At 34.7% G+C, this 15,590-nt stretch overlaps 1 protein-coding gene across 29 annotated transcripts in view; it reads left to right on the top strand.

The window, feature by feature from the left end:
- The window catches only part of SUPT3H (SPT3 homolog, SAGA and STAGA complex component), a 568,878-nt gene that overhangs the window by 359,873 nt on the left and 193,415 nt on the right, over positions 1-15,590 (top strand). For 28 of the 29 annotated variants that reach the window (NR_146632.2, NR_146634.2, NR_146633.1 and 25 more), the window contains 2 exons: positions 3,171-3,261; positions 14,270-14,409. Coding sequence is in view for 18 of the 29 variants with exons in the window: in NM_001350327.2 (NP_001337256.1) it covers positions 3,171-3,261; positions 14,270-14,409 (231 nt within the window). In the remaining 11 variants the exon portion in view is untranslated. The remainder of the gene's footprint in view (positions 1-3,170; positions 3,262-14,269; positions 14,410-15,590) is intronic. The other variant, NM_001261823.2, reaches the window with a different exon arrangement.

Here is a 15,590-nt window from a genome sequence, read left to right as displayed (position 1 = left end):
ATGAAGGACCTCTTCAAGGAGAACTACAAACCATTGCTCAAGGAAATAAAAGAGGATACAAACAAATGGAAGAACATTCCATGCTCATGGGTAGGAAGAATCAATATCGTGAAAATGGCCATACTGCCCAAGGTAATTTACAGATTCAATGCCATCCCCATAAAGCTACCAATGACTTTCTTCACAGAATTGGAAAAAACTACTTTAAAGTTCATATGGAACCAAAACAGAGCCCACATCGCCAAGTCAATCCTAAGCCAAAAGAACAAAGCTGGAGGCATCACGCTACCTGACTTCAAACTATACTACAAGGCTACAGTAACCAAAACAGCATGGTACTGGTACCAAAACAGAGATATAGATCAATGGAACAGAACAGAGCCCTCAGAAATAACGCTGCATATCTACAACTATCTGGTCTTTGACAAACCTGAGAAAAACAAGCAATGGGGAAAGGATTCCCTATTTAATAAATGGTGCTGGGAAAACTGGCTAGCCACATGTAGAAAGCTGAAACTGGATCCCTTCCTTACTCCTTATACAAAAATTAATTCAAGATGGATTAAAGACTTAAATGTTAGACCTAAAACCATAAAAACCCTGGAAGAAAACCTAGGCATTACCATTCAGGACATAGGCATGGGCAAGGACTTCATGTCTAAAACACCAAAAGCAATGGCAACAAAAGCCAAAATTGAGAAATGGGATCTAATTAAACTAAAGAGCTTCTGCACAGCAAAAGAAACTACCATCAGAGTGAACAGGCAACCTACAAAATGGGAGAAAATTTTCACAACCTACTCATCTGACAAAGGGCTAATATCCAGAATCTACAATGAACTCAAACAAATTTACAAGAAAAAAACAAACAACCCCATCAAAAAGTGGGCAAAGGATATGAACAGACACTTCTCAAAAGAAGACATTTATGCAGCCAAAAGACACATGAAAAAAATGTTCATCATCACTGGCCATCAGAGAAATGCAAATCAAAACCACAATGAGATACCATCTCACACCAGTTAGAATGGCAATCATTAAAAAGTCAGGAAACAACAGGTGCTGGAGAGGATGTGGAGAAATAGGAACACTTTTACACTGTTGGTGGGACTGTAAACTAGTTCAACCATTGTGGAAGTCAGTGTGGCGATTCCTCAGGGATCTAGAACTAGAAATACCATTTGACCCAGCCATCCCATTACTGGGTATATACCCAAAGGAGTGTAAATCATGCTGTTATAATGACACATGCACATGTATGTTTATTGTGGCACTACTCACAATAGCAAAGACTTGGAACCAACCCAAATGTCCAACAATGATAGACTGGATTAAGAAAATGTGGCACATATACACGATGGAATACTATGCAGCCATAAAACGTGATGAGTTCATGTCCTTTGTAGGGACATGGATGAAATTGGAAATCATCATTCTCAGTAAACTATCACAAGGACAAAAAACCAAACACTGCATGTTCTCACTCATAGATGGGAGTTCAACAATGAGAACACATGGACACAGTAAGGGGAACATCACACTCTGGGGACTGTTGTGGGGTGGGGGGAGGGGGGAGGGTTAGCATGAGATATACCTAATGCTAAATGACGAGTTAATGGGTGCAGCACACCAGCATGGCACATGTATACATATGTAACTAACCTGCCCATTGTGCACATGTACCCTAAAACTTAAAGTATAGTAATAATAAAATAAAAAAATAAATAAAAAAAAATTTAAAAAACAATTATAGTCAGGTACCATATGATGAACTGTTTTTCAAAAATGTACTGCAAATACAGCAGTAGTCCCATAAGATTATAATGGAGCTGAACAATTCCAATTATCAAGTGATGTTGTAGGTATCATACTAACATTGTAGTGCAATGCATGACTCGACTTTGTGGTGATGCTGGTGTATACCTCTGCACTGCTGATGGTATAAAAGCATAGCACATAAAATTATGTATAGTACATAATACTTGATAAAGATAATAAATGATTGTTACTTGTTTATGTATTTATAATACTCCATCATTATTTTAGAGTGTACTATTTGCAAAAAACACTTAACTGTGAACCACCTGAGGTTGTTCCTTCATGAGATATACCAATAAAAAAGCAGTTATCAAGGGAGCTGACAGTTCCATGCATGCTATTGCCCTTGAAGACCTTCCAGTGGGACAGGATGTGGAGGTGGAAGACAGTGATATTGACGGTCCTGACCCTATGTAGGCATAGGCGTGTGTGTGTGTGTGTGTGTGCGCGCGCGTGTGTGCATCTTAGTTTTTAACAGAGAAGTTTAAAAAGCTATAAGAAATTTAAAAGTAGAAAAAAGTTTATAGAATAAGGATATAAAGGAAAAACGTTTTTGTACAATTGTGTAAGGTGTTTGTGTTTTAAGCTAAGTATTACTGTAAGAGTGAAGTATTTTTTAAATTAAGTCTATAAAGTAAAATAGTTACAGTAAGTAAGCTAAGGCACATTTATTATTGAAGAAAGAAAAATTTTAAATGTAGTGTAGCCTAAGTGTACAGCTTTTTTAAAAATAAAGTCTGCAATAGCATGCAGTAATGTCCTAGGCCCTCAAATTCACTTGCCACTCATTCATGGACTCAACCAGAGCAACTTCAGGTCCTACAAGCTTCATTCATGGTATATGCCCTCTACAAATGTATCATTTTTTGTCATTTACATGGTATTTTAACTAATTTTTGTATATTTAGAAATGTTTAGATATACAAATACTTACCATTTTCTTACCCTTGCATACCAGTTTGTAGCCCATGAATAGTAGGCCGCACCATGTAGCCTAGGTGTGCATTAGACTGTTCCATCTAGGTTTGTGTAAGTGTATTCAGTGATGTTCACAAAACGATGAAGTCTCCTGAGGAGGCATTTCTTAGATCCCCTTCATTAAGCAATGTGTGAGTATTGTGATTCTGGAACATCCGAATATTTGTAAATGAAAACTGCTTTTTAAAAGACTTGTATTTTAGCCTTTGTGTTTGATGACTACCTTTTTATGTCATAGCAGTATGCTAAGGATTACTTTACTTTCTCTGATATCATGGGGTACAAGTTTATTAAATTTGGTTATAGTAGTCTTTAATCAGTAAAGTGAATATATGTATAGGTTTTCTTATTTACTTATTTTATATTTTTAATAGAAAAAACTTAGAAGACTGCTAAAATACATGTTTATCCGAGACTACAAATCAAAGATTGTCAAAGGCATCGATGAGGATGATCTTCTCGAAGGTAACCAAAACAAAACACAAAACTAAAACATGAGCTTATGACACATGTGTGCTGGATAACACATTTATGCAATTCCAATGTAACTGGAGAACTAGTTAATTTTGTTTACTGTCAACAAATCAAGTGGAATACCCTTGCAAAAGTATATATTTCTGATAAAACATATTATACCGTGTTACCTATTTAATATTACTACACTTCTCATAGATTCTAATTCTTGAAAAATAGTTCTGCAGATGAATTGAAATGTTTCTTTTTATGGAGCACATAGTGAATGCAGACTTAGAGTAAAACAGACCGGAATTCCAATCAATACCAGTTCTCTGCTTTCTTTGTGTGACCTTGAGGGTCAGTTTCCTCATTTATGTGGAGGGAAATTATATTGTGTAACACGTGGAGTGCTTAGGAGAGTTTAGCATAATATATGAAAAGCACTTGATACCTGCCTGCCACTAAATGAATGATAGCAGTTAACACCATGCTTCAGACACCATGAAGTTTGGGATGGTAAGAGTAATATTCAGTTTTGCTAAACCATCATATTAGTTTGATGTCCTCTCATTCATTTCAAATCTTCCCCCTTATCTTCATTTGTATGTTCTAATTTTGTGTGTCTTACAAAAAGCACACTAAAACTTAAAAAAAAAACAGTTGATAGAAATTATAAAGTAAAATATTCAGGTAGAACACATCTAATCTTGACGTGGGACTTCTGAAATGGCTATGTAAGGATGGCAGAGTCTCTCCCCAGTGAAACACATTTAACTGGTAAATTTTTTTTGAAATAATCATTTAAAGTCTGTAGAAATTGTCCTAAGCACGTACAGCAAGCAGGGCAACACATATTCAAGATCAACTAAATCTTGTTAAGAACAGTATTGAGAGTCTGTTGCATTTAAACCATGACCTGCTCACATGATCACTCTTCACCATTCTGCCACCTTAACTCAGTGTGACAGAAGCTCTACTCTGAGTGAGTGTAGCTTGCCCCTCCAGTTCTTATTCTAGGGCAACAATTTTACCCCAGAAGGGGCAAGAGGTAGGCATCTCTCATCTCCCTCAGCCCCATGTTGCAAAAGCTTTATTCTAGGCAGGCACAGCTGAGATGACTGGGGCTCCCTTTTCTCACTTAACCTCAGCTCATAGGATAAAAGCTCTACCTCAGACATGGTAGTCTGAGAATACTGGGCTCTGATTGCCACCACCCTAGCTCTCATAGGGAGCAAAGCTACATACCAGAATAGACAAGCCTAGAAGTCTAGGGGTTGCTTCCCTTTCCAGATCACCATTCTCAGATCCAGGGAAGTCTTTCCAGGAGAAGTTAATTGCAGGTCCACCCTCAGCTTCAGTACAGTGGTACAGATGTTCGGCTCAGACCTTAGGAGCAGAAAGCTCTGCAGCTCTTCCACGTCACTGCTTGGAACAGAGTGTGTGGAAGTTCATACCTAAGTTCATTGTAAAAATAACAACAACAACAATGAAGATCCTGGTGATGAGTGATTAAGAGGGGACTGGTAGCTCCATGATACTGGTAGCAAAAAGCAAAACAGTGGGTCAGCTAGATGTTAAACAAAGAAAACAAGGGAAAGAGATAGTTAAAAAGAGCCCTCCTGCAGTCAGAGCAAAACTTAAAGGCTGGCAACATTTCACAGGGGCCCAACATTATTTAGATCAATCAATCTCTGGAGCAATTTATGCCCAAGGGTATTATCAGAAACAGTGGAGCAAACAGCTGTCAATTAGTGGGGGCTAACAGCTGTATGTGATAACAGTAGAGGCAAAACAGCCAGAAACTTAATAGGGAGATCAGGGAAGGTAACAGCCAAACACCCCCTGACTAAAACTACAGTCATCTCTGGTTATGGAGGAGATTGTTTGCATACTCAAGGCTGCACCCTCTGAAGAACAACATCAGAGGCTGCATACTGCAAGGGAAGAGACTTCATTGTACTAGTTCAGCCAAGTCATGAAATAAACAATGACAAGCCCCAGGGAGGGGAGGGAGTTGTCTAGATTTGCTACACTGTATTATCTAAAGTGTCCCTTTTCAACAACAACAACAAAATACTAGATATGCCAAGTAATAGGTAAGTGTGAACAATAAAAAGGAGACAAAAAAAAAGTAGACAATAGAAACTGCTTTTTGGGGGCCCAGATGTAGGACTTAGCAGACAAAAACATCAAAGGGGCTATTATGTATGTGTTCAAATAACTAAAGGAAATAAAATTTTTAAAAAAGGAAGATATGATAATAGCGTCTCACAAAGTAAAGAGTATCAATAGAGACAGAATTTATTTTAAAAAATAGAAATTACGGAGTTCAAGAATACAATTACTGAAATGAAAAAATTCAGAAGGGCTCAATAGTTGTTTTCAGCTGGCAGAAGAAAGAATCTGAACTTGAAGACATCATTAAAGAGTTTACAATCTGAAGAAAAAAGTGAAAAAATAATAAAGAAAAATTAACAGCTTCAGAGAAATGTAGAGCACCATTAAGTGTGTAAAAATACACATAATGAGAGTATCAGAAGATGAGAGAAAAAGTAGAAAAACAAATATTCAAGAAATAATGACTGAAAACCTCCCAAATTTGATGAAAACTACCAGTCTACTAATTCAAGCATATCAACAAGCTCCAATTAGGATAAACATAAAGAAATCTACACTAAGACACTTTTACCAAAAATGTGGGAAAAAAAAAAACAGACAAAAAATCATGAAAGTCACAAGAAAAAAGCATATACAGGGGGACCCTGACAATATTTATGGCTGACTTCTCATCAACATAGCAATCAGAAGGCAGTGGGATGATATATTCAAAGTGCTGAAAGAAAAAACTTCTCCACCGAGAAACTTATATCCAGCAAAACTATCTTTCAAAAATGAATGCAAAATACATTCCCAGATAAACAAAAACCAGGAGAATTTCTTGCCGTCAGACCCATGTAAGAAAAGTTTTTAAGGCTAAAAGCAAGCTGCACCAAATAATTTGAATCCACACATTTATAAAGATAATTAAGTACATAAATATAAGAGAAAGTATAGTTGTCTAAAAGCAAGCTGCACCAAATAATTTGAATTCACACATTTATAAAGATAATTAAGTACATAAATATAAGAGATAGTATAATTGTATATTTCCTTTTTAAAATTGATTTATAAAGCAGCTATATAAAACACTATGTATATAAAAATTGTTATGTTGGGTCTGTAATGTTTGGAAATATAATATATTTGACAGTAATGACACGAATGAGGTAAGTGGTAATAATGCTGTACTGGGGTAAGGAAATGGCACCTCAAGTTATAGAAAGAAATGAAAAGAACCAGAAGTGGCAAATAAAATGGTTAATATAACAAACTATATAAATATACAGTTGGTCTACTATGAAGACACAGACCACTGAAACTGAATCAAGAAGGAATGGAAAATCTGAACAGGACAATAGCAAAAGGTTAAATTAGTAGCTTAAAAATTTCCACAAAGAAAAGCTCAGTCACAGATTATTTCACTGTTGAATTCCACCAAATGTTTAAAGAAGAATACCAATTATTTCCCAACTAATTCTATAAAGGTAATATAGATTGAGCCTGATATGAAAACCAGACAAAGATATCACAAGAAAAGAAAACCAGACTGCAATGTTTTTTAATACAGATGCAAAAATCCTCAACAGAATGCCATTAAACTGAATTCAGCAAGTATAGAAAGGATTATAAACCATGACCAAATGGGATTTGTCATAGGGATATAAAGTTGTTTTAAACTTAGAAAACAATTCATGTAATGCATCAAATTAACAGAATAAAGGAGAAAAATCACATGATCACCTCAATAAATGTAGGAAAAGCATTTAACAAAATTCCAAAAGTGTTTAATGAGAGGGACATTCAACAAACCAGGAAGAGAAGGAAACCTCTTTAACTTGATAAAGATGATTGCATGGACTGAATGTTTTTGTCCCTCCTCACCCTCTGAATATATATGTTGAAGCCTAATTCCCAGTGTGGTAGTATTTGGAGATGAGAATTGTGGGAAGCATTAAAAATTAGGTCATAAGGATGGAACCTTTATGATTAGGGCATTTCTGAGAAGAGACACAAGAAAGTTTGTTTCTTCTGTTTCTGCTGTCCACCATATGTGGATACAACAAGATCATGTCATCTGTAAGCCATGAAGCAGGCCTTCACCAGACACTAAATCTACTGGCACCTTGATCTTAGACTTCCCAACCTCCAGAACTGTGAGAAATAAATGTTTGTTGTTTAAGCCTCCCAGTTTATGATGTATTTGTTGTAGCAGCCTGAGCTAAGACAGACATATATGGAAAACCCACACCTAACATCATAGTTAATGGTAAAAGACTGTATGCTTTCCCTTATAAGATCGGGAACAAGACAAAGATGTCCATTAATGGCACTTATATGCAATATTGTACTGAAGGTTTTAGCCAGGTGTTTAGTCAGAAAGAGAAATGAAGGGCATCCAGATTAGAAAAAAAGAAGTACAACTACCTCTGTTTACAGATAACATAATTTTGTATATAGAAAATTCTAAGAAATTCAATAAAAACTATTACAACTAATAGACTGGTTCGATGTGTTTGCTGGATATAAGAGAAATATGCAAAAATCAAGCATATTTTAATATATCAGCTATGCACACCTCAAAAATGAAATTAAGAAAACAATGCCATTTACAATAGCATCAAAAAGAATAAAATATTTTGGAATAAAATTACTAAAGACCTGCAAGATTTATGTACTGAAAATTACAAAATATTGTTGAAAGAAGGCCTAGATAGTAATGGAAAGACATCCTACGTTCATGGATTGGAACATTCAGTATTATTAAAGTGTTAATACTCTCCAACTTGGCCTACAGATTTCATCTGCTTTTTTGTAGAAATGAATACACTGATTCTACCAATCATGAATACGCTGATTCTACCAATCATATAGAAATACCAGATTCTGATATGGAAATGACTCATCTAGGTCGTGAGGGAACTAGAATACCTAGAACAATCTTAACAAAGAATAAAGTCAGAGGACTCATGCTTACTGATTTCAAAACTTACCATAAAGCTACAGTAATTACGATAGAGCAGTACTGGCATAAGTGTAGACATATTTGTCAATGAAATGGAATGGAATGAGAGTTCAGTAATGAGCATTTAGGATCAGTTGATATTGACAAGGATTTCAAGAGAATTTGATAGGGAAAAAATAGCCATTTTGACAAATATTGCTGGAGCAACTGGATATCCACGTCCAAGAGAAAGAATTTGGGCACCTACAACAACACAGTACACAAAGTTAACCCAATATGGATCATAGACCTAAATACAAGGGCTCAAACTATAAAATTCTTAAAAAGAAATACAGTAATAAATGTTGATGACTTTGGAGGAGGCAAAGCATTCTGAATGTATGACACCAAAAGCACAAACAGCAAAAGAAAAAGGGAAAATTGGACTTGATCAATTATTTCAAAGTCAAAACAATGACTAATAAATTAACTGATCAATTTTAAAAGTTTTATGTTTCAAAGAGCAACATCAAGAAAGTGAAAAGACAAACCACAGAATGGAAGAAAATTTTTCTTATATATCTGATAGGGTACTTTTGTATAGAATATATCAAGAATGCATGCAACTTAACAATAAAAAGACAGTGGCCCAATTTAAAAATGGGCAAAGGGTCTGAATAGAGATTTCTACAAAGAAGATTAACTAATGGACAATAGACACTGAAAAAGATACTTAAAAATCATGCCTATAAATAATCCCAGCACTTGAGGAGGCTGAAGCGGGTGGATCACTTGAGGTCAGGAGTTCAAGACCAGCCTGGCCAACATAGTAAAACCCCATCTCTACTAAAAATACAAAAAATGAGCTGGGTATAGTGGTGTGTGCCTGTAATCCCAGTTACCTGGGAGGCTGAGGCAATAGAATACCCTGAAACAGGAGGCAGAGGTTGCAGTGAGCCGTGATTGTGCCATTGCACACCAGCCTGGGCAATAGAGGGAGATTCCATCTCAAAAAAAAAAAAGTCATTAGCCATCAGAGAAATGCAAATCAAAACCACATTGATATAATACTCCACACCCACTAGGATGACTGTGATCAAAAAGATAAAAACAAGGCCGAGTATGGTGGCTCATATCTATAATCCCAGCATTTTGGGAGGCTGAGGCAGGAGGATCACTTTAAGCCAGGATTTTGAAACCAGCCTGGGCAACAAAGCAAGACCCCATCTCTAGAAAAAAAAAATTAATTAGCCAGTCTCAGTGGCATGTGCCTGTGGACCCAGCTACTCAGGAGGCTGAGGTGGGAAGATTACTTGAGCCCAGGAGTTAGAGGCTGCAGTATGCTGTGACTGCACCACTTCATTCCAGCCTGGCAACAGAGCGAGACCCTATCTATTAAAAACAAACAAACACACAAAATGATAATAACAAGTGCTGTTGAGGACATGGAGAGCTAGAACCTTCTTAAGTTGTTAGAGTATAAAATGGTGCAGACAATTCAGAAAGCATTTTGGAAGTTCCTCAAAAGGGTAAACATAGATTTACCAACTGAACCAGAAATTCCATTCCTAGCAAAAGAAGTGGAATAAGATAAATGAAAATATGTATTCACATAAAAATTTGTACATGAGTGTTAGCAGCAGCATTCATGATAATAAAAAAGGAAATAGCCCAAATGTCTATCAGTGGATGAATGGATAAATAAGTATGGAATATTCATATAAAGGAATATTATTTGGCTATAAAAAGGAATTAAATACTGATATATGCTAAAACATGGATGAACCTTGAAAATATTAAGCTAAATGAAAGAAACCAATCACAAAGACCAGATATTTTATTCTATTTATATGAAATGTCTGGAATAGGCAAATCTAAAGAGATGGAGTGTAGAGTAGTGGTTGCCTAGAGTTGGTGGAGGGGAAGATTGAGATAGGGAATCATTTAAAATCCCATTAAAATCCTCCACTCAAACCCTTACCATTGATTACATTACAACTGAATCCCATCAAGCAGCAAAAAAAAAAAAAAGTGGGGGGGAATACTTAGGGTGAGGGGAGTAATGCACCAACATAGAGGAAGCTAAGACAGAACGTAATATCTGCCAGCAAAATAGTTGGGATTAGATGACAACTTAAATTTTAAAAAGTAAGGAGAACAATAGTGGGACTCAAATGTAGCACAAAAGAGATTTTCTAGAGTTAACACACAGTAATTCACAACTAAATGATTTTTTGTCAAAAAGTCACTCTTCAGACCTAATTAGGGAGAATAAAATGCAATAGTTATCTCAAAGCACATAGAAAAATGTAAAGATATGAAAATTATGAGGGAAAAAGGTAAGAGATATAGAGGATAAATTCGGAGGAGTTAAGATGCATATGATAGGCATTTCAGAAAGTAAAAGTAGGAGATGGAGGAGAGGCAATTATTAATAAATTATAGAGCTAAGAATAATCCAAGACTGCAGAGTAAAAAAAGTTGAGTAGATAAACACCTGGAATGTCTTAGTAAAATTCTTGATCTCTAAACATAATGAGAAAATCTTACAAAAGCTCAGCCTCCTCTACCTCCAAAAAAGGAATTATTAAATGAATCACATTATAATTGGACTTCTCATGTATAACACCGGAAGCTAGAAGGCACTAGAATCATATTTATCGATTCATGAGAGGAAGGGACTGCAATCCAAGGACTTTATACCCAACCAAGATAAGATATCTGTCTATAGTGCTAAAGAAACATATTCGACAATATGCAAATATCAAGTGCAGAAAGTAAATGCAAATGCAGAAAGTAAATCATCCATAGATCCCAGTGATAAACTTCAAAGTTAGAAAAAGGAAGAATAGGAAAGAAGTATGTTGAGTAGTTAATCTTGTTTGGACTCAGTATTTATCTCTAATGATACAATATGTGAGAACATGCAATATAAGCGCTAAATTTCTTAAAATACTGGTGAAATTCTGTTAATACTGTAAAAATAATACCCCTTTTCATCGGAAAGCCAAAAGTTTAGAGATGGAGAAGGGGTGAAGTAAAAATTTTTCAAAGGTCTATTGATAGGAAGCTGAGATAGGGAAAATGAAAGTGTTCTGAAGGTCTCTTGATACTGGAAAGGGTGAAACGTTAGAAGAAAAAGTTACTTGATTGGGAAAATGTTACCTCTTGGTAGGAGTATAATTGATATCTTACTTTAAATAATAATGGAAACTGTTGTCTAAAATATGTTCAAGCAATGTGTCCAACCAGAAAAGAGCGAGGTAAACATTAAAGAAAATGGAAAAAGGGGTGGTAAACGTTAACAGAATAGAAAAGTATATTACAATTTCAAATTAACAATGAGAAGAAATGGAAGGACTATCAACATGGCCAAACCATTAAAAATGAAGAAAGGAAAAGGAAAAAACAAGAATATGAAATAAATACCAAATATAAAGCAAGAGAAAATAATAAAAATGAAATATATCGGTCATTGCACTAATTATGAAATGGATTAAATTCTTACATTGAGACATTATAAACAACCACAAAAATAAAACTTGAACATAAAGAAAGGTTATAAATAATGCGATGAACAAATAAATGGTAAATAAATGCATACACAAATGCAAAGAAAGCGGAAGTGGCAATATTAGCATCATGCAAGCTATAATTTAACATTAAAAGCCCAAACAGAACAAAGAGGAATATTTTATAGAAGGATAAAGGGTAATAATAATAATAATAAAACAGGATAAAGAGGAATAATTATAGAAGACACAATTTTTAACATAATAGACCCATAAGCACTAAATAGTAAATCAGCAAAATAGCAAGATATGCTTCGACCTGTATTTATCTGGAATAGAGGGTCTATGAATTTTTTCAATATATCTACAGAACATTTACAAAACTTAATTGTAAAATTGGCCACAAAGTAAACCTTTACAAATTTAAATAAGAATAGATATCTGATAGGATCCATTCCATCTGTGTGAGTGGAGAGAAGTCATCTCAAACAAAAGTTATAAAAGAAAAAATGAACTTATTTGACAATATAGAAATTAAATTTTTTTTTTTTTTTTTGAGACGAGTTTTGCACTTGTTGCCCAGGCTGGAGTGCAATGGAGCAATCTCGGCTCACCACAACCTCTGTATCCCGGGTTCAAGCGATTCTCCTGCCTCAGCCTCCCGAGTAGCTGTGATTATAGTAGACACAGGGTCTCTCCATGTTGGTCAGGCTGGTCTCAAACTCCTGACCTCAGGTGATCCGCCCGCCTCAGCCTCCCAAAGTGCTGGGATTACAGGCGTGAGCCACCACGCCTGGCAAATTTTAAATTTTTTAGTGGCAAAAGATGCTTTAAAATTCATAGGCAAATGAAAGACTAGGATAAACATTTTTAACTTAGATAACAAAGGGGTAATATAAAAGAGCCCTTTGAATTGTTAAGAAAAAGGCAACCCAGTTGAAAATGGGCAAAGGATAAAACTAGACAATTAACAGAAAGGCTTATTCAGATAGCTAACAAACATATGGGAAAACATGTTTAGATTCATTAGGGAAATTAAATATTTTAATCACAATGATGTATCACTTTACATTTATTAGGCTTTTCTCATGGAGAGACAAGGCATTCCTCATTAGTCTTGGAAACTTGAAGGTTAATGCACTGGTAAACAATCTCTTAACTTCCATTAAAATGTTTGTACCTTTTAACTCAGTAGTTCCATCCTTGTGAATCTATGCCATAAACATTAAGCCAACCATACAGAATGCCATATGGATGGGATGTTCATTACTGCATTTCCCCTGGGTAGCAAAAACCTGAAACAAAGTTTATGCCCATCAATAGGGGATTGGCTGGAAAGCTGTGGTACATACATACTGTAAAATATTACACAGCCGTTAAGAAGGAATCAGGGCTGTACCAGTTGACTTGGAGGGATTTTTCTTCCTAATTGACGAAGAAACATGAAGTGCAAGACCAGAAAGAAATAGAAGGAATATCATAAGAACCCTTTTCTAGAAAATATAAATGAATAAAACAGCTCTATAAATGAATGTATTTTTATGGATATATGAGCATGGAGAATACATATTGGGTGGTGTTAATATGAGTTACAAGATTTTGAGTTGGAATTTGGCTGATCATGTAAAAGGGAAGGAAATGGGAAAGAGTAATCAAGCAAAAATGATATGTGATATTTTAATATATTTTAATTTATAGATGTTTATAAAACTTTTTGATTTAAAAATTTAAAAGAAATGATAAAAATGAAGAAAAAGATCTATGGACCTAAGATGATAATATAGATTCTTATATGTATATAGTTGTTAATGTGCTTAGAGATATATATTTTTTAAATCTTCTGTAACCTTAAGTTGTCAAATTTAAAAATATATATATTCAGATATCTCACAATAATTGTGCTTTTTAAGATTTCCTTTGTGTTATTCATTTTGCTATTATTTTGTTACATAAAAGTTTATGGCCGTTTAAAATTCCTTTTATTACTAGATAGTATTTCACCCTGTCTCCTTTAGTGTTTTTGGTCTTGAGCTGTATTTTCTAACGTTAATGTTACCAGTTCTGCTTTCTTAGCTTGTATTTGCCTAGCATATCCTTACTCATCATTTTTTGTATTGTCATTTCATTTCAGAGGTGTTTGTTATAAATACTATATAACAGTATTCTTTTTCCAAATCTGAGCACACCACTCTCTCCTTTTTATAAGGGATTTAATTAGCCCTTTCACACTTACTTTGATAATTGATCATTTGGTTCTATTCTTTCATTCTAATTTGTGACATGAAAAATTATTTAATTCTGTATGACTTATACTTTTATTTTGAATGCAAGAATTTTTTAAAAGATTATTTTCAGAGAATCCCAATTCTGAATTTGGTATACTATATTTAATACATGTAATAATTAGTGCTGATGTAAACCTATTGAGAACATTTCTTTTTTTCTTTCCCTTGACTTCATGAAGACAAATTGAGTGGCAGCAATAATGCGAACAAAAGACAAAAGATTGCTCAGGACTTCCTCAACTCTATTGACCAGACAGGAGAACTTTTAGCAATGTTTGAAGATGACGAAATTGATGAAGTTAAACAAGAAAGAATGGAGGTATAGTACATTCTTCCCTTTTTACAGAAATAGAACAATCATTGCAGTGCCTATGCTGTTTGGTCCTATTCTCATGTTCTTTAAATGTTGTCTGAAATCTCTAAGTCAGTGGTTTTATGTCTGATGGCAGCGATGTGCAGAGGATCAGCCCCTGAAGTGGGAGTCAGATCTGCCTTCAGCATCAACTTTGGGAAACAACTTCTGTTTTCTGTTTCCTTATTTCCCGTTTTGAAAATGATTAGGTTTCCCTACTCTGGATCTGACATTTACTGATTTTATTTTATGAAGCTAATTTCTAATTAAATATTTACCTTTCTTGTTTCAAATCATCCAGTTTTATTTGTAAACAAAACTAATTCTTACTGCTTTTATGTTGGCATATATAGTGTGAAGAGCTATTCTTCTGGCTATAGTTGCAGGCTCTGATTGGACTTACTAGCTAGGGTAGTACCCAGGGCAGTTACATGCTTTATATCACTGCAAGACAAAATTAGTGACATGTATTTGGATTCCCTGGATATGTCTTAACAATGCATTTGAAAATTATATGTCTTCTTTTTACCTTAGCTATCTATACATAAAATTATTATTTCTTTAAACACTAAAGGAAAAATTTAAAGTAAAATGATTTATTGCATTTGAGTGCCTTCCAAATTACAAGACAGTATTTTCACAGTTCATATTGCTATTATCATACTTTCACATATAAGGAATCTCCATTTTCCCCTTCTCTTTCAGTTGGGCAATGGAGGTAATTTCAGAATTGCAAAAGATGTGCTAAGTGCCAACTTTTTTATAGTTTCTATGCATGCTGAAGATATAATTATTTTATGTTAAACTTTGGAGGAGGTCCAGTAGACATACATGCTTTATAAACTTCAACAACCTTTAAAGAATTAGCAGGCTTGGATCATGAACTGTGATCTAAAGGCAGTGTTCTTTTAGGTATCAATTACTTTAGAAATGTGTGGTTATCTTGGTTTGGTACAACTGCAAATAATTTTAGTTCAACTTTGCCTTGGGCCAAAAACATGCTAAGTTGTCCAAAGCAGATGATAAACATGTATTTCTGATGTCATCATTGCCCAAACAGGATATGGTTGTTTAGTGGCATGGTTTCACTTATGATGCATTACACAAAGAGCAAATATTGTTTATGCTTTATTTTTTAAATATTTTTA

The sequence above is a fragment of the Homo sapiens genome, chromosome 6 (assembly GCF_000001405.40).
Source record: "Homo sapiens chromosome 6, GRCh38.p14 Primary Assembly".
NCBI classification, from domain to species: domain Eukaryota; kingdom Metazoa; phylum Chordata; class Mammalia; order Primates; family Hominidae; genus Homo; species Homo sapiens.
This window is presented reverse-complemented; position numbering and strand designations above follow the sequence as displayed.